General features: G+C 55.5%; 2 protein-coding genes across 2 annotated transcripts in view, besides 5 other annotated features; both read left to right on the top strand.

The window, feature by feature from the left end:
* The window catches only part of FBF1 (Fas binding factor 1), a 31,469-nt gene extending 25,302 nt beyond the window's left edge, over window positions 1-6,167 (top strand). Inside the window, exons 24-30 of the mRNA NM_001319193.2 lie at window positions 602-724; window positions 809-994; window positions 1,443-1,619; window positions 1,691-1,828; window positions 1,922-2,039; window positions 3,434-3,549; window positions 4,935-6,167. Of these exons, the coding sequence (NP_001306122.1) occupies window positions 602-724; window positions 809-994; window positions 1,443-1,619; window positions 1,691-1,828; window positions 1,922-2,039; window positions 3,434-3,549; window positions 4,935-5,018 (942 nt within the window). The 3' untranslated portion in view covers window positions 5,019-6,167. The remainder of the gene's footprint in view (window positions 1-601; window positions 725-808; window positions 995-1,442; window positions 1,620-1,690; window positions 1,829-1,921; window positions 2,040-3,433; window positions 3,550-4,934) is intronic.
* Window positions 519-813: an enhancer, noted in NCBI's record as "tiled region #10813; K562 Activating non-DNase unmatched - State 7:EnhWF". NCBI's record gives its function as "activates a minimal TATA promoter and a strong SV40 promoter by Sharpr-MPRA in K562 cells {active_cell/tissue: K562}" and the evidence as "EXISTENCE:reporter gene assay evidence [ECO:0000049][PMID:27701403]".
* Window positions 4,718-4,878: a silencer, noted in NCBI's record as "fragment chr17:73906944-73907104 (GRCh37/hg19 assembly coordinates)". NCBI's record gives its function as "represses an EF-1alpha promoter that drives an FKBP-Casp9 reporter gene in an ReSE screen in phorbol 12-myristate 13-acetate-treated (for megakaryocytic differentiation) K562 erythroleukemia cells {active_cell/tissue: K562(+PMA)}" and the evidence as "EXISTENCE:reporter gene assay evidence [ECO:0000049][PMID:32094911]".
* Window positions 10,452-10,931: a silencer, noted in NCBI's record as "silent region_8997". NCBI's record gives its function as "represses an Ori minimal core promoter by ATAC-STARR-seq in GM12878 lymphoblastoid cells {active_cell/tissue: GM12878}" and the evidence as "EXISTENCE:reporter gene assay evidence [ECO:0000049][PMID:35858748]".
* Window positions 10,857-17,097, top strand: MRPL38 (mitochondrial ribosomal protein L38). Its single transcript, NM_032478.4, has 9 exons — window positions 10,857-10,932; window positions 11,022-11,201; window positions 13,587-13,721; window positions 13,821-14,029; window positions 14,468-14,540; window positions 14,714-14,759; window positions 16,067-16,225; window positions 16,447-16,583; window positions 16,755-17,097. Exons 1-9 carry the CDS (start codon window positions 10,866-10,868, stop codon window positions 16,889-16,891), a joined length of 1,143 nt encoding a protein of 380 aa, NP_115867.2. The 5' UTR covers window positions 10,857-10,865; the 3' UTR covers window positions 16,892-17,097.
* Window positions 10,942-10,991: a silencer, noted in NCBI's record as "silent region_8996". NCBI's record gives its function as "represses an Ori minimal core promoter by ATAC-STARR-seq in GM12878 lymphoblastoid cells {active_cell/tissue: GM12878}" and the evidence as "EXISTENCE:reporter gene assay evidence [ECO:0000049][PMID:35858748]".
* Window positions 11,012-11,061: a silencer, noted in NCBI's record as "silent region_8995". NCBI's record gives its function as "represses an Ori minimal core promoter by ATAC-STARR-seq in GM12878 lymphoblastoid cells {active_cell/tissue: GM12878}" and the evidence as "EXISTENCE:reporter gene assay evidence [ECO:0000049][PMID:35858748]".

Genomic DNA, 17,588 nt, shown 5'->3' with positions numbered 1-17,588 from the left:
CACTGTGCCCGGCCCAAAAAAATGTTTTTAAAGAAGAAAATAAAAATATCCCACTAGTCAGAGATGTCCACTGCTGACCTGATATCTATCCTGTAGCCATGTCAACGTAGATAGAGATGCTTTTATGTTGTGAAGCATTTTGATTCGCCTCTTCATTTGGTAACTGTGTTAAGCATCTGCCTGGGGTCAGGCACAGTGAAGCTCTCGCCTTGTGCTGTGTGTGGCTGGGCCCACAGCACAGCATTAAGCCACCCTGTGCTTAGCCTGCTTGGCTGATGGGTGAGGACAGGCAGAGTGCGTAGCTGGCGATTCAGCGGCAGGGATGTTGCTGCTCTTTGGCCCTCCCAAGCTGCTAGCCTTGGTGCTGTTGGAGACCTGAGGGTTGGGAGGGCACCTGCTGGGTCCTTCTCTTGGGCAGAATCGTGCGGGCTGGGCCCTGGCAGTGCCTCCCAGGCACCCCTCATTTTGTGCCTCTTTGGGAAGGACGTGTCAGTGGCATAGTGTGGGAGACACTGGTGGGTTCATGCAGCTTCTCAGGGAGTGGCCAGGCGTGATCCTCAGGGCGGGAACCACGCTCTCAGTCCTGCCCTGGGCCCTACAGGAACGCTGGCGGGTGACTGCCGAGCAGTCCAAGGCGGAGTCCATGCAGCGCGCCCTAGAGGAGCAAAGGAAGGTCACGGCCCAGCAGATGGCCATGGAAAGGGCGGAGCTGGAACGGGCCAAGGTGAGTCAAGCCACCGCACTCAGCCCCTGCCCCTGCCATTATGCCCAGGGACACTCACCCCGTGCCTTCACCCCCACATCCCAGAGCGCCTTGCTGGAGGAGCAGAAGTCTGTCATGCTCAAGTGCGGGGAGGAGCGGCGGCGCCTGGCTGCCGAGTGGGCGGAGTTCTCCGCGCAGCAAAAGCTGAGTAAGGAGCGGGCCGAGCGCGAGGCCGAGCGGGCATTGCAGGTGGACACCCAGCGGGAGGGCACCCTCATCAGCCTGGCCAAGGTAGGGCCCAGAGCCTCCGGACAGTGGAGGGCCCAGGGTTGCCTGCGCCCCTCCATCTGGACACATCCGCTTCCAGTCTTAGGAAAGGAGAGTGTAGCACTAATGTCACAAGAGCATAGGGATTAAAACAGTAATCGCATCATCATGCTAACATCTTCCTCGTATTGTCCCAGGTGCATTATACACATTTTATTTGATCCTCATGTTCCCATGACTTTGGTCATTTAGAAATGAGGAAACCGAACTTCAGAGTTGAGCCTGCCACAGTCACGTGGCTTGTGAGGGCAGCACTCCGGCTTGGCCCCAGGCTTCTCTGGCTCTCCCTGGAAGCCCCTGGCTCCACCACCTCCTCCCAGGGGCAGGGTGGGCAGAGGGGACCCTAGAGTCCTGCACAGAGTGCAGCGCAATTCCTGGGAGGAGAATGCAGCAGGGCCTCCGCTGTCTCCAGGAGCAGGCTGAGCTGAAGATCAGGGCCAGCGAGCTCCGGGCCGAGGAGAAGCAGCTGGCAGCGGAGAGAGCAGCCCTGGAGCAGGAGCGGCAGGAGCTGCGGCTGGAGAAGGAGAGGATCAACGCCACCGCCCTGCGTGTCAAGCTCCGCGCCGAGGAGGTGGAGAGCATGAGCAAGGTGCTGCTCGGGCACATGGGCGTGGGCGCATCTGAGCCCAGGCAGCCCTGACCCAGGCGGCCTCCCTGCAGGTGGCCTCCGAGAAGTACGAGGAGGGGGAGCGGGCATTGCGCGAGGCCCAGCAGGTGCAGGCAGAGCAGCAGGCCCGGTTGCAGGCGGTGCAGCAACAGCAGGAGCGGCTGCGGAAGCAGGAGCAGCACATGCACCAGGCAAGGCTCCCTGAGTGTATGGCGCCCCTGCCCCCGGCACCCCCAGCCTCCCACCTCACAGCTGAGTCCTTCTTTCTGGGGGAACGGGGACAGGAGCATCTGAGTCTGGCCCAGCAGAGGCTGCAACTGGACCGCGCACGACAGGACCTGCCCTCTAGCCTCGTGGGTCTGTTCCCCAGGGCCCAGGGCCCTGCAGCCTCCAGCCAGAGTGGTGAGTGGCTCCAGAAGGAAGGGCCGGCGGCTCAGGACTGGGCAGGGGCAGTGCTAGGAGTGGGCAGGCCCTCCTCCAGCCGCTCCAGTTAAGGCGGCCAGCTGGGTTTTATAGTCGCCTTATTTCTTTTTTACACAAATAATGTGTGTTAATTTTAGATAAATCAGAAATAGAGGAACACTATTATGAAAAATGTCACCTTTTTGTAACTCTGGACTCAGGAAAAAAAAAGGAAATAAAAAAAGTCATTGTCAGGCTGGGCGTGGTGGCTCACGCCTATAATCTCAGCACTTTCGGCAGCCGAGGCAGGCGGATCATCTGAGGTCAGGAGTTCAAGACCAGCCTGGCCAACATAATGAAACCCCGTCTCTGCTAAAAATACAAAATTAGCCGGGTGTGGTGGCAGGTGCCCGTAATCCCAGCTACTCAGGAGGCTGAGGCAGGAGAGTCACTCGAACCCGAGAAGTGGAGGTTGCAGTAAGCCGAGATTGTGCCACTGCACTCCAGCCTAGGGGACAGAGCAAGACTCCGTTTAAAAAAAAAAAAAAAAAAAAAAAGTCACCCTCAACGCCACTCCTGAGTCTTGAGAGAACCACTTTTCACTTTTAACATTTTGGTGCATAATGTTCCACTCTGGTACTTTTTTTTTCTTTTCTTTTTTGAGATGGAGTTTCACTCTTGTCACCCAGGCTGGAGTGCAGTGGCATGATCTCGGCTTAGTGCAACCTCCACCTCCTGAGTTCACGCGATTCTCTTACCTCAGCCTCCCAAGTAGCTGCGATTACAGGCATGTGCTACCATGCCTGGCTAATTCTGTATTTTTAGCAGAGATAGGGTTTTGCCATGTTGGCCGGGCTGGTCTTGAACTCCTGACCTCAGGTGATCCACCCGCCTTGGCCTCCCAAAGTGCTGGGATTACAGGCATGAGCCAACGCGCCCAGCCTGGTACATGTTTTTAAAAACAAAATTAGGATTGTATGTGTTTTTCAATAACTTTACTTTTTTTACTCAGTAATGTACACGTGGAACAGGTTTTCAGATCAGTCATTAAACATTTAGTCAATTCCCAATCAGCACAGTTTTCCACTGTGAGGCTGCTCTGTGCTGAGTGATTTGTTGTCTTAAAGAGAAAGACTACCCAGTGGACATCTTCCTACATATGTGTTTGTACCTTTGCCTGATTATTTCACTGGAATAAATTCCTATAAATGGTCTTTCCAGGTAGGAGCAGGTATGCATTTGCCAGAGGCTTCTGAGAGTTAGTGCCATTGCACCCTGAGTATATGGCCAGGGTCCACCCACTGGCGGGGGGAGCAGCTCTGCAGGAACAAGCTGTGACCGCCCGGTATTTCCACCAACACTTTGGTCCCTGACTTCCTCCTTGGCCTTTTCAGCCCTCATGCCTCCTGCTCCCACCACCCGTTGGTGCAGCCAGCCGCCAACTGGCCTGGACCCCAGCCCCTTGCACCTCCATGCCAGGCTGGCACTGCTGAGGCACATGGCAGAGCAGGTGAGTCTCTCCTGGCCTTGGGGATCCTTGTGTTCACGAGTCCTTCCAGCTCAGGGCAGAGGCAGGGAGGAGCACATGGTAGCCCTGGGGAGGGGTGACCCCAGCTCCTGGGGAGTAAAACTGCAGTTTGCTTAGTGAGCCAATGCTCAGACTTCCACACTAGGCCAGGTTCTGTGCAAAGCAATTTGCATATGTCATCTCAGTTAAACCTCATGATAACCTATAGCAATAATGATAACAGGCTGGGCACAGTGGCTCACACCTGTAATCCCAACACTTTGGGAGGTTGAAGCAGGAGGATCACTTGAGCCCAGGAGTTTGAGACCAGCCTGGGCAATATGTTGAGACACCGTCTCTACAAAATGAAAAACTAAAAAAAGAGGACCAGGTGCGTGGCTCACACCTGTAATCCCAGCACTTTGGGAGGCTATGGTGGGAGGATTACTTGAGCCCAGGAGTTCGTGGCCAGCTTGGGCAACATAGTGAGACCTCGTCTCCACAAAAAAATAGCTGAGCGTGGTGGCATACACCTGTACTCCCAGCTACTCCGGAGGCTGAGGTAAGAGGATCACTTAAGCCCGGGAGGTCGAGGCTGCAGTGAGCCACAACGGTGCCACTGCACTCCAGGCAACAGAGCGAGACTCTGTCTCAAAAAAATAAATATTAAAAATTTAAAAATTAGCTGGGCATGGTGGGGCATATCTATAGTCCCAGCTACTTGGGAGGCTGAGGTGGGAGGATTGCTTGAGCCCAGCTGGTCGAGGCTACAGGTGTGTTCACACCACTGCACTTCAGCTTGGGTGACAGAGCAAGGCACTTGTCTCAAACTAAACAAAACAAAACTATAATGATAACAGTTGTCATTATGGAGCATTTCCTGTGTGCCAACCTCAATGCCGAAGGCTTTGTTTATATTTTACTTATTTATTTATATTTAGAAATGGGGTCTCACGATGTTGCCTCGGCTGGTCTCAAAGTCCTGGGCTCAAGTGATCCTACCCCCTTGGCCTGCGGATTAGCTAGGATTACAGGCATGAGCCACTGTGCCTGGCCTGCTTTGTGTATTTTTTAAGCTTTTACCCTCACACAGCCCTGCAAGGAAGGGCTACAAGGAATGTTTACAGACAAGGAAACTGAGGCTTAGAGACATGAAGTCATGTGCTCGTAAGTTCCACAGCAAACAAGTAACCTTGCCAGGATTGAGACTGTGGTCTGTCTCACTCCATACCTGGGCTCTTTCATGGCCCCTGCTGACTCCCAGAGCCAGGCAGAGTCAGGGACGATGTGGGGAGGGGCCTCAGTGACGGCTGGCTCAGCTAGCATCCAGGGCTCCACCTCCCTCTCAGCTCAGGGAAGGTGACCGCCCATCCAAACCTGCCTTGCAGGACCGTGACTTCTTGGAGAATGAACAGTTCTTCCTGGAGACCCTGAAGAAAGGGTCCTACAATTTGACATCTCATTCAGCCTGAGTGGGACCCCAGCCGATTCCCCAACAGAGGGTTCGGACCCCAGAACTGTCCTGTTCCTCCGGCTGCCTCCATGGAGGCAGTGCCTGGGGAGGATTCTGAGATGCTTGAGGCCTGATGACAGCTCTTCCGTGGACAGGGTGCAAGTGCATCCTTTCCAAATGTGCCAGCCCGGGGCAGCCCCTGCCTCTGGGGCTCTGTGGTGTAGGCTATCTTACCATGGCTTTGGCTGCCCTGCCCCAAAGCCATTGGCTTGGATCTGAGGGTCTGAGTTGGCAGCAAGGACCCCCAGCTCTCACTGGGCTCTGTGGGCTCCCCCTGGGCTCTGTGGGCTCCCCCTGCTCCACAGGTAGACTGTTGTGGGCTCTTTTTGCCTGGGCCTCTTCTGAGGCAGGAGCTTTCTTGAGGGATGCCACAAACAGCCTTCCCTACTCCCTGCCAGAGCAGTTCCCTCCCTGATGAGCTGGAGAAGGGCCCTCTGGCCTCCTGACAGTACAGGGAGGGCACCAGCTAGATCCTCCCTTGTGGTGTGAGATGTTCCTGGAACTCAGCCAGGCCCTCCTCCTCCTGGGCTTGCCCAGAGCCCCCACCCTATTCCCAGCATTGCCCGAAGGACCAACCAGTTTGGGTGAACAGTGGCCTCCTCAGCTTCCTCCCCATCTGGGTGCCCCACCGGCGGCGGAGGGAGCTGTGGCGATGGTGGGGTGTGGGGAGGGACGAGGAGGGAAGCCTCTGTGCTGCTCACCTGCCCAAAGCCCAGCTCAGCGGGTACGCAGTGGAGGCGACAAGGAACCAATCACAACTACAGAGGTTTCTCTGATCCTCCTCCACTCCCGCTGCTTCAACTTGACTAAGCTTAAAAAAACTGCTTTTGCCATGGCTCATCGGAGTTTATACTTATTTCTTAGAAAATGTTTCCTGTTATTTGCTGGACAAGTCCCAAAGAACAGGCAGATGTTCTTATTAAAAGATCAGCCTATAAGATTGGTCAGGACCAGGCGCCTCTGGCCACGTGCCTCTCCCCTCCAGCACCTGCGGTCTGCGGTGGCACCTGGCAGCTGGACCACAGCCAGGAGAAGGGTACTATTAGCCCTGCTTCAAACATGCAGAAACTGAGGCCCGGGGAGATTAAATAACCTGCCTGAAATGACAGTGAGTAGCTGCGCCTGGATTTGAGTTCTGCTCTGGCCAATCCCCAAGCTCCACGCTGTCAGCCACCCCGCTCTCCTACCTCCCAGAGGAGCAGGCTACACTCCTGGTAGGTGCTGGTGTGGGAGGAAGATCTTTTCAGGCGCTTCTGGGGCTGGTACCAACACTGAGGAGGGAAGTATCACATGCCCCATTGGAAGCCTTGGTTAAGTCTCAAATTTGATTCTCCACAAAAGAGACTCAACCAGTCCTGAGGCAGACCTGTGCAAAGAGCTGGGGGGGTCTAAGGATGGGCACGTCGGCCCAGGGGCAGCTGGTATCTAGGCAGCCACCTGCAGGACCTGCAGGTGATCAAGCACATACATCGGGGAGGGCGGTGCTGGGAGACCCACAGGGGGAGAGCATGGCCTTCAAGACAGAGTAGGGAGAAGAGGTTAGAATGAGAGGGCTTTGCATATCTTGTTAAAGACGTGCAACTTTTCAGGGCAAATTTGTCTGAGGGCAAATTTTCAGGTCTTCACTAGAAGATTTTAAACAAGGTTGAACCATATTTGTATTTTAGAAAACCCATTGGCCAGGCACGGTGGTTCACGCCTGTAGTCCTAACACTTTGGGAGGCCAAGGTGGGTGGATCACTTGAAATCAGGAGTTCAAAACCAGCCTGGCCAACATGGTGAAACTCTGTTTCTACTAAAAATACAAAAAAACTAGCTGGGCATGGTGGTGTGTGCCTGTAATCCCAGCTACTTAGGAGGCTGAGGCAGGAGGATCGCTTGAACCCGGGAGGCACAGGTTGCAGAGAGCCGAGATTGCACCACTGCACTCCAGCCTAGGCGAGAGAGCAAGACTCCGTCTCAAAAAAAAAACAACAACAAAAGAAAACCCATTGTGTCTGCAGGGTGGGGACCGGACCAGAGGGGGCAAGAGTGGGACAGAGGATGTGTGGGAAGGCAGCTGGCAATGGTGCAGGGGAGGGACTGTGGGCAAGACTACCGGGCATGGCAGGGAGGGCCCACAGAAAAGTGGCCCTCGGGCCTAGTGCCAGTCATGGAGGATCAGAAAGGAAGACGTGTTGAGGACGCCCAGGTTCCTGGCTTGGGTGACTGGGTGGTGTCACAGATGAGTATACAGTGCCGGGGGGACAGCCAAGCAGAGACATTCCACAGGCACTCAGTTATAATGGCACTTTACTCAGTGTAAGCACTCAGCATTCCTGTCACCGCCATGAGGGTGTGGCAGGCATCCTAATTATCCCCTTCAGCCTTCTCCCAGGCCACAGACACTGGAGAGGGCTGAGTACAGAAATGAGTGTTGTGTAGCTGCAGCTCTTTTTTTCCTTCAAAATTGTAAACAAGATCATAACCCAAGTGCTTCATTCAGTTCCTTTTAGAGAGAGAAATATTGCGGCCGGGCGCGGTGGCTCACGTCTGTAATCCCAGCATTTTGGCAGGCCAAGGTGGGTGGATTACCTGAGGTCAGGAGTTCGAGACCAGCCTGACCAACGTGGTGAAACCCCGTCTCTACTGAAAATACAAAAATTAGCCGGGCGTGGTGGCGTGTGGCCTGTAGTCCCAGCTACTTGGGAGGCTGAGGCAGGAGAATCGCTTGAACCCAGGAGGGAGAGGTTGCAGTGAGCCGAGATTGTGTCACTGCCCTTCAGCCTGGGTGACAGAGTGAGATTTTGTCTAAAAAAAAAAAAAAAGAAAAAAAAGAAAAAGAAATATTGGTGGAATGTAATGGGTAAAACATACTGGTGCAGGTGCCGGGCGCAGTGGCTCACGCCTGTAATCCCAGCACTTTGGGAGGCCGAGGCGGGCGGATCACGAGGTCAGGAGATCGAGACCATCCTGGCTAACACGGTGAAACCCCGTCTCTACTAAAAATACAAAAAATTAGCCGGGCGTGGTGGCGGGCGCCTGTAGTCCCAGCTACTTGGGAGGCTGAGGCAGGAAAATGGCATGAACCTGGGAAGCGGAGCTTGCAGTGAGCCGAGATCAGGCCACTACACTCCAGCCTGGGCGACAGAGCAAGACTCTGTCTCAAAAAAAAAAAAAAAAAAAAAAAAAAAAACTGGTGCAGTGGTACACACCTGTAGCTGCTATCAGGAGGCCAAGGTGGGAGGATGGCTTGAGCCCAGGAGTTCAAGACCAGCCTGGGCAACATAGTGAGACCCCCATATATTTTTTTAAAATGGTAGAGCCACTGCTTCTAGTTTCAAGATATTCATCGTTATTTGCTTCAAGTTGGTACACGTGGGAATCCACGTGAAGCCTCTCTCAAACTGTTAATATCCAAGCAAGCGCCAATCAGGGTTCTAGGACAGCAAGAGGACAAGAATGGAGGAATGCACCGCCACCTGGGTGGCCAGCAGCTTCCACGCCAACTGCCAAGGCCCCATACATCTTCATCTGGAGAGGGCTGGGAGGGTCGTGGGGTAGAGCGGGTGGGTTTAGAGGCTGAAGAAAATGATTCAGAAACAAAAGGACAAGGTGGCCGGGTGCAGTGGCTCACACCTGTAATCCCAGCACTTTGGGAGGCCGAGGTGGGTGGGTCACCTGAGGTCAGTAGTTTGAGACCAGCTTGGCCAATATGGTGAAACCAAGTCTCTACTAAAAATACAAAAAATTAGCCAGGCGTGGTGGTGCATGCCTGTAATCCCAGCTACTCGGGAGGCTGAGGCAGGAGAATCACTTGAACCTGGGAGGCGGAAGTTGCAGTGAGTCGAGGTCGTGCCCCTACACTCCAGCCTGGGCGACAGAAACTCCATCTCAAAAAAAAAAAAAAAAAGGACAAGGTAAAACAGCCACGATGTAAACACACAATCCAGTTATGCTCCTGTACTGCATAACTGCAGTATGGAATGTCACAATAAGCAACTCCTTACGAGCAGGACTGGGTGTGACTGCCCCACGTATTCCCCTCCACACTTAGCATGTAGCAGGTGCACACTGCTGGGTGGATTAGAAATGACTGTGAAAGGTTTAGCTGTTTGGCTGCTGTTTATGAAAACCAGTGGAAGGTGTGGCCACTTCCTGCTGGATGGAGAGACCCTCATTCCATTCTCATTCCATCTCAAAGTGATTGTGAGGGTCAAGCTTCTGCTGGTGCCAGAGCCACTGGCCTGGTCACCACCAGCCCTGGCCTGGGATGTCAGAGCAGGCTTCCTGGAGAGACCCCTCTCCTGGGGCTGGGTGGTGGCCAGGCCAAGGTGGGGCAGTGAGGAGGTGAGAGGCAGAAGACACAGCGTATACAAAGGCCCCGTGGCCTGGAGGCAAAGTGCGATGGAAAAGTCTTGCCTTTTAGGGCAGGAGGGCCAGGGCTGGGGCAAAGGAGGGTCCCAGATTCCCCAGGCTACCAAGTTTTGCCATGGTAGAACTGGATCACAAGGGCAAGCCTGAGTCCTGCCAGAAACATTCACATCTGCACTTAACCAGGTCACTTCTGCCTTTGTGTGGATAATGAGAAGTTGGAGATAGTTGAGCTAACACACAAACCACTGCGAGCGCTTTCCAGAGGGTAATCTTTTCATCCTGACAGCTGTCAGGTAAGCACTAGTGTTAACCTGCTTTTTCCCAAATGAGGAAACCACAAGGAAGACAGTAAGGTCACGATCTGGTTTTTTTTTGGGGGGGGGGAGGGGCATTTTGAGACGGTGTCTCACTCTGGCACCGAGGTGGTGGCGCAATCTCGTCTCACTGCAGCTTCTGCCTCCCGGGTTCAAGTTAATTCTTGTGCCATAGCCTCCTGAGTAGCTGGGATTACAGGCGCCTGCCACCACGCCCGGCTAATTTTTGTATCATTAGTAGAGATACAAAAATTTTTGTATCTTTAGGGTTTTGCCATGTTCGTAGGGCTGGTCTCAAACTAATTACCTCAGATGATCCGCCCACCTCGGCCTCCCAAAGTGCTGGGATTACAGGTATGAGCCACCGCGCCCAGCCACAATCTGGGTTTTTATTACTATTATTTTATTATTATTATTATTATTGAAATAGAGTTTTCACTTTTGTCGCCCATGCTGGAGTGCAGTGGCGCGATCTCGGCTCACTGCAGCCTCCGCCTCTGCCTCCCAGGTTCAAGCGAGTCTCCTCCCTCAGCCTCCCGAGTAGCTGGGATTACAGGCGTATGCCACGCCCGGCTAATTTTTGTATTTTGAGTAGAGACGGGTTTTCACCGTGTTGGCCAGGATGGTCTCGATCTCCTGACTTCGTGATCCACCCGCCTTGGCCTCCCAAAGTGCTGGGATTCCCGGCGTGAGCCACCGCGCCCAGCCCTCAATCTGGGTTTTAAACCCAAGCAGAGTCCGGAATCGGAGCTCGCACCCCTTCTCCCAACCAGGCCTGCGTCCCTGGGGAAATCAGGACGCAGCGTCCAGGGGTTGGAGGAGGGCCCCGGCGGCCGACCCCGGTCTGTGCCGCCCCCTGGTGGCCAGCCATGGGCGAGCATATGACTGCTCTCGGCTCCGCCCCGCCGTCCAACGGGCACTTCCGGAGCCGGGCGTCTACAGACCGCGGCCACCTTCCACCTGCGCCCGAGGCAGACGGTGCAGGGGCCTCCGGGACAGGCGTCTGAGGCCTGCTCCGCAGCGCGGGCCCGGGGGCGGGCCTAGGGGCGGGGCCTGCTGTGGTGCGCTCAGGCACCGCGCTGGCCACCTGTGCCCGGGTCCTAGTGGCGGCCGCAGTGTCGCAGGCCGGAGGGAAGATGGCGGCGCCCTGGTGGCGAGCCGCGCTGTGCGAGTGTCGGAGATGGCGGGGCTTCAGCACCTCGGGTGAGGGGTGGGCAGCTCTGCGGGGGGGGGGGGGGGGGCTGTCGCCCGAGCTGTGGGGCGCCGGCCTTACGTCTTCTCTCTGCCCGCAGCCGTCCTGGGCCGCCGGACACCCCCGCTGGGGCCGATGCCCAACAGTGACATCGACTTGAGCAACCTGGAGCGGCTGGAGAAGTACCGGAGCTTCGACCGCTACCGGCGCCGAGCAGAGCAGGAGGCGCAGGCCCCGCACTGGTGGCGGACCTACCGAGAGTATTTCGGGGAGAAGACAGGTGCGGGGCGACTGGAGCAGGGGCTGCAGCCACCGCCCGGGGAACTCGGGACCCGCCGGCGTTTTCCCCGGGCGCTGGGCGAGCCTTGCCGGCGCCCTTGTGGATGCTGGGGACGCTGGGAGGGCCTGCCTGCAGACCTGTGTGCGCTATCGGCAGCTTAATCACCCCAGGATTTTTCACACCTTCTGCACCTCATTCTTGGAAAATTCGCTCCCCCTACTATTAGAGTTCCAGCTCCTAAAATATTTGCTCCTAAAATCTTGACCACCTGACTTTCCGGATTGGGATGCCGTTCTGTGCGCCTCAAATACTCTGTAGGTAACTCTGGCCACACTGCATTCTGACTGTGCGCTGCCTCTCCCCAGATTGTAAGCGCCCTGTTGACAGGGATCCTGCTTGTCTTGCCCTCCATTGGATCCTTGCACCCGAACAGTGCAAGGATGTACATGTGCAATACTTTGCTGAATGAAATTAAAGGCCTGGGCAGGGTGACTCAAAAAAGAACCCAACCTGGCCGGGCGCGGTGGCTCACGCCTGTAATCCCAGCACTTTGGGAGGCCTAGGCGGGCGGATCACCTGAGGTCGGGAGTTCGAGACCAGCCTGACCAACATGGAGAAACCCCGTGTCTGCTAAAAATACAAAATTAACTGGGCGTGGTGTCGCATGCCTGTAATCCCAGCTACTCGGGAGGCCTCTGAGGCAGGAGAATCGCTTGAACCCAGGAGGCAGAGGTTGCGGTGAGCCGAGATCGCGCCATTGCACACCAGCCTGGGCAACAAGAGCGAAACTCCGTCTCAAAAAGAAAAAAAAAAAAAGACCCCAACCTTTAAGGAACTTACAATTTATGGAGTATATGCTTTTCTTTTCTTTTCTTTTCTTTAGCATTTATAGAGGCAGTTTTGTGGTGGTTAAAGGCACAAGCGTGGAATCTAAATAGCCCGATTTAAATCCTAGCTCAGCCTCTCGGATAATGTCCTTGAGCTTGTTTCAACTGTAAAATAAAATAATTGTGTCTTTGCTACAAAATTGCTGTGAGGATTAAAAGAGGCAATTCATTGGCATTTTTGCCTAATGCCATCTCTGATGAGGGCTCAGTATGTTTTCGTTATTATTATTTTGTTTTGTTTTGTTTTAAGGCAGAGGCTCGCTCTGTTGCCCAGGCTGGAGTGCAGTGGTGCGATGACTCACTGCAACCTCTGCCTCCTGGGTTCAAGCGATTTTCCTGCTTCTGCCTCCAAAGTAGCTGACACTACAGGCATGCGCCACCACGCCCAGCTAATTTTTGTATTTTTAGTAGAGATGGGGTTTCACCATATTGCCCAAGCTGGTCTGAAACTCCTGACCTCAAGTGATCCCCCTGCCTCAGCCTCCCAAAGTGTTGGGATTACAGGCGTGAGCCATAGCACCTGGCCGAGAAGCACTTCTATAAGTCCTTCTAGCATCAGTCATTCACTCTACCTAGGACAGCTGGGTGTTCATAGCCACCTGTGAACAGGCTTGGAGGTGATCTCAACTATAATTGGAAGGACCATTGACTTCAGTTTCCCATGACCTAGACAAAACTGTGACCTGGTTTGGGGATCAGAAAAACACAGCCTCCAGCCTAGCCAACATGGTGAAACCCCGTCTCTACTAAAAATACAAAAAAAATTAGTCGGGCATGGTGGCAGGCGCCTGTAATCCCAGCTACTCAGAAGGCTGAGACAGGAGAATTGCTTGAACCCGGGAGGCAGAGGTTGCAGTGTGCCGAGATCGCGCCACTGCACTCCAGCCTGGGCGAGAGAGTGAGATTCTGTCTCAAAGAAAAACACAACCTCAAGTTGTATCTGATTTGCTTCCCAGTTACATCCTATTCAGGTCTGGGAAGTAGACTGCACAGTATGTTTTAATTCTGTGAATCACAGGGAAAGCTTGAGCAGCAGAGCTTGAAGCACAGAATGAGAGGACTAGGTAGGGACAGGCAGTTTAACCAAGAAGATGTGCCCGCCCCCTCACTGGGTGCAGTGGCTTGCGCCTATAATCCCAGCTACTTAGGAGGCTGAGGCAGGAGGATCACTTGAGACCAGGAGTTTTGAGACCAGCCTGAGCAACATAATGAGATCCCATCTCTCAGATTTTTTAAATTAGCTACCATGGCTGGGCGCAGTGGCTCACACTACTGTAATCCCAACACTGTGGGAGGCTGAGGCAGGCAGATCACTTGAGCCCAAGAGTTCATACCAGCCTGGGCAATGTGGCAAAACCCTGTCTCTACAAAAAATACAAAAATTAGCCAGATGAGATGGTGTACACTTGTAGCCCCAGCTACTCAGGAGACTGAGTTGGGGAGGTTAAGGCTGCAGTGAGTCATGACCCTGTTTTTCCCACACATCTTCCCACTCCAGATCCCAAAGAGAAGATTGATATTGGGCTGCCTCCACCCAAAGTCTCCCGGACCCAACAGCTACTGGAACGGAAACAGGCCATCCAGGAGCTTCGGGCCAATGTGGAAGAGGAGCGGGCTGCCCGCCTCCGCACAGGTAAGCCTTCTCAGGGGAGGGGCCATCCCAGAGTTGGGGTACAGGGTGTGTCCCTGCCCCCCCCACCCCCGTATCCCAACTGGCCTTATTCCTGTCTAGCCAGTGTCCCGCTGGATGCCGTGCGGGCCGAGTGGGAGAGGACCTGTGGCCCCTACCACAAGCAGCGTCTGGCTGAGTATTACGGCCTCTACCGAGACCTGTTCCACGGTGCCACCTTTGTGCCCCGAGTCCCCCTGCACGTGGCCTACGCTGTGGGTGAGGATGACCTGATGCCTGTGTACTGTGGCAATGAGGTGACTCCAACCGAGGTAACCACTCACTTGTGCCCCTCCTCCCTGCCCTGTGCAAACACAGACACATCCCATCTCAGTGTCACAGACACTCCTGGGTTTGGAATTTTGTTGTTCTCTGTCTCTTTGATTTCCTGGAAGACGACACCATGACAATTTCAAAGAAAATAGAACAAAATGAAGGAAAAAGAGGCTCTGTCTTAGCACATTCCTGTGACCAGCCTGCTGTCTGTGGTGTGCCCTCCTGGCCCGGCCTTGGCACATGTTCGTTTTTGTGGTTGTTGCCTGGACAGGCAACTCTGCAGGGCTGCTTCTCTACGCATCCCTTTGCCTGCCTGCCTGTGCCAGGGGTTGTCAAGGGCTTTTGGGTCAGAGTGGGCACCCCTTTCTCCAAGGCTCCCTGCAACAGCTGGCCTGTCCCTGGTGGGGCTGACAGCTTCCTTCTCACCCTGCCAGGCTGCCCAAGCGCCAGAGGTGACCTATGAGGCAGAAGAGGGCTCCTTGTGGACGTTGCTACTCACTAGCTTGGGTGGGTGTCTGGGGCTCACCAGGCCTCCTGCCCCGCTCACCTCCTATGAGCCAGGGCCCTGGGGGGCTGGGGGAGGGGCCAGGTGGAGATCTCCAGCGCTGGCTCCTAACAAGGGAGGGGGTGGCAGGGCCGTGGTCGGCTGGGCCGTGGTCAGCAGGTGTGTTTTTGTGCAGATGGGCACCTGCTGGAGCCAGATGCTGAGTACCTCCACTGGCTGCTGTGAGTACTGGAGTACTGGGGGTAGGGGGTGCTGCCCAGGCGGGAAGAGGAGCTGGGAGCCTGGACTGAGCTGCTCCTGAGTTTCATGGACTACCCATGGGACCTTGAATTCACCTGCCACCTCTGCCTCCTGAGGGTGTTAGGGGCCCTGGGATCCACGTGTCTACTTGAAGACAGCTACAGGAGACAAAGTTTGCAGTAGGCCTCGGTCAGTCCCCACAAGCCTCCTCATCTTTTCTTTTCTTTTTTTTTTTTTTTTTTGAGACAGGGTCTCACTCTGTCCCCCAGGCTGGAGTACAGTGGTGCAATCATGGCTAATTGCAGCCGCTAACTCCTGGGCTCAGGTGCTCTTCCCACCTCAGTCTCCTGAGTAGCTGGGACTACAGGTGCAAACCACTACACCCAGCTAATTTTTGTATTTTTTTATAGAGACAGGGTTTCACCATGTTGCCCAGGCTGGTCTCCTGAGCTCAAGCGATCTGCCCGCCTCCGCCTCCCAAAGTGCTAGGATTATAAGCGTGAGCCACCATGCCTGGGCCCTTCGTCTCTAAACTCATTTCTTCACCTGTAAAACTGGGATAATGGCACCACATGCCTTACTCAGCGTGAGGTGGACTGTGACAGTCACGTGGGAGAAGGAGCGGGAGAGGCCTAGCAGCTGTGGCGTCCCCCAGGTGCTCCTTGAACCACTGGGCGCTCCTTCCCTGGGCCCAGACTGGGCGGCCTTCCATCTTGGTAGCTTTTGGCTCTGAACACCAGGCCAGGGGGCAGAGGTCAGGCCAGTGACCCCAACTTTGAGCCTTCTGGTTAACTGGGGACAGTGACTGGGAGGCTGGTTTCCGTCATTTTTATTCAACTGTTACCAGCCTATGCGGCAGGACCCTCTGGGGATTTGTGCCTGAGGCGTTGGCCGCCCCTGTGCCAGGCTGGGCACACACTCCCTGACGAGGTCCTGGAGACTTCAGGACGCAGAGGGAAAAGCAGCCAAAAGTGGCCTGGCTTTCTAGCCTCAGTGACTGTGGCGGACCCACCGGCTCCCGGGGCCTGGAAGCGGCTGCATGGCCTTGCTGTCAAGCTGATGCTCTCTGGAGCCCTGTCCCCCACTCGGAGCTCCTCCAGCCCGCTTCCCGTATTTGCAGCATGTCCCGGCGTTCACAGAGCTTGGCTGCCTCCTCTGTCCCAGGAGAGAGATGCTTAGAGCTGTCCTCCCAGGGAGTCATGTCAGCCTCTAGGGTGTGCATGGAGCTGAGGGGACACTCCTGCTGCCTCCCTGGAGTGGTAATTAACCGGGACTTTCCTCCTCCCAGAACCAACATCCCGGGTAACCGGGTGGCTGAAGGACAGGTGACGTGTCCCTACCTCCCCCCCTTCCCTGCCCGAGGCTCCGGCATCCACCGTCTTGCCTTCCTGCTCTTCAAGCAGGACCAGCCGATTGACTTCTCTGAGGACGCACGCCCCTCACCCTGGTAATCTACACCACCCACACATAACCCGGCCTCAGGCCAGCTCCCCTGGAACGGTCACTCTTGCTCAGTTCTCTCTTGACCTCAGCCTTGAGACTGGCAGAAGAGCAGGATAGGGTGCTAGCAGACTCCCAGGGGCCTCTCAGGGTTACCTGTTGGGGTGGCGGGGTGAGGGGCTCTGGTGCCCCACTCCACACTCTCATACGCTCTCTATCTTCTCATAGCTATCAGCTGGCCCAGCGGACCTTCCGCACTTTTGATTTCTACAAGAAACACCAAGAAACCATGACTCCAGCCGGCTTGTCCTTCTTCCAGTGCCGCTGGGATGACTCCGTCACCTACATCTTCCACCAGCTTCTGGGTAAGGGCCATGGGGCTGGGGCACTGGGTGGGCCTGAGCTCCCAGGCCTCGCCTGCCCTGCCAGGGAGAAGCTTTGTTAGGGGAAGGCTGCGGCAGGTCCCTGGTGGGCAGGCCTCAGCCTGAGGGGGCGCAGGCCAGCAGACCACCCCGTACCCCTCACTCTTCTTGCAGACATGCGGGAGCCGGTGTTTGAGTTCGTGCGGCCGCCCCCTTACCACCCCAAGCAGAAGCGCTTCCCCCACCGGCAGCCCCTGCGCTACCTGGACCGGTACAGGGACAGTCATGAGCCCACCTATGGCATCTACTAAGGAGCCAGAGTGTGCGCATTTCAGAGCATGGGATTGATCGGCAGCAAGAGTAAAGACACAGCTCCAGAGGCCCACACTGTGGGGTCTGGGCCCTGCCTTAGGCAGCCCCCCTCTTTGGCCCCCTCCCGTCAGGCCCAGGGCTTGGAGTGAAAGTGACTCTCAGGTGGTGGGGTGGGGAATGTGAATAAACATGATTTCTTGCCGGGCTTGGTGGCTCACACCTGTAATTCCAACACTGGGAGGCTGAGAAGGGAGGGTCGCTTGAGCCCAGGAGTTCAAGACCAGCTGGCAATATAATGAGACCCTGCCTGTATTTTTTAAAAAAAGGGATTTCTGCCATAGCTGGCCTGGGTCGGTGCTCCAGGGCCAGAGGACCCCGATGGAGCTTCATGGGTGGGAAACGGGCTGCCTCCCACCCCACTAAGTGCGTCCTCACCTCCGTCTTCTGAGGGTGTCAGGGGCCCTGGGATCCGAAGCAAAAGCAGGCAGTGGGCCAAAAACAGGTGTGGCCCAGGGAAGGGAGACATCCCAATCCAGCAGGTTCCTGAAACCCAGCTCCCCGAAAAAGTGGAGCAGAGCAGCTGGGCTCAGGAAGGAGCATTTATTGAGCACTGGCTCTGTGCCTCAGGGGGGTCCCACCGGCCCCTGGAGAGAGAGTGCCTGCCCGAGCACTGACCCTCTGCACAGGCTCCAGCCC

Source organism: Homo sapiens, chromosome 17, assembly GCF_000001405.40.
Source record: "Homo sapiens chromosome 17, GRCh38.p14 Primary Assembly".
NCBI classification, from domain to species: Eukaryota; Metazoa; Chordata; class Mammalia; order Primates; family Hominidae; genus Homo; species Homo sapiens.
This window is presented reverse-complemented; position numbering and strand designations above follow the sequence as displayed.

Bases quoted from the DNA above. Each gene is read 5' to 3' on its own strand.
- MRPL38 (NM_032478.4), top strand. From the start codon at position 10,866: ATGGCGGCGCCCTGGTGGCGAGCCGCGCTGTGCGAGTGTCGGAGATGG. The intron at 16,226-16,446 runs GTAATCTACACC...ATCTTCTCATAG, and splicing joins GACGCACGCCCCTCACCCTG to CTATCAGCTGGCCCAGCGGA. The intron at 16,584-16,754 runs GTAAGGGCCATG...CTCTTCTTGCAG, and splicing joins CATCTTCCACCAGCTTCTGG to ACATGCGGGAGCCGGTGTTT.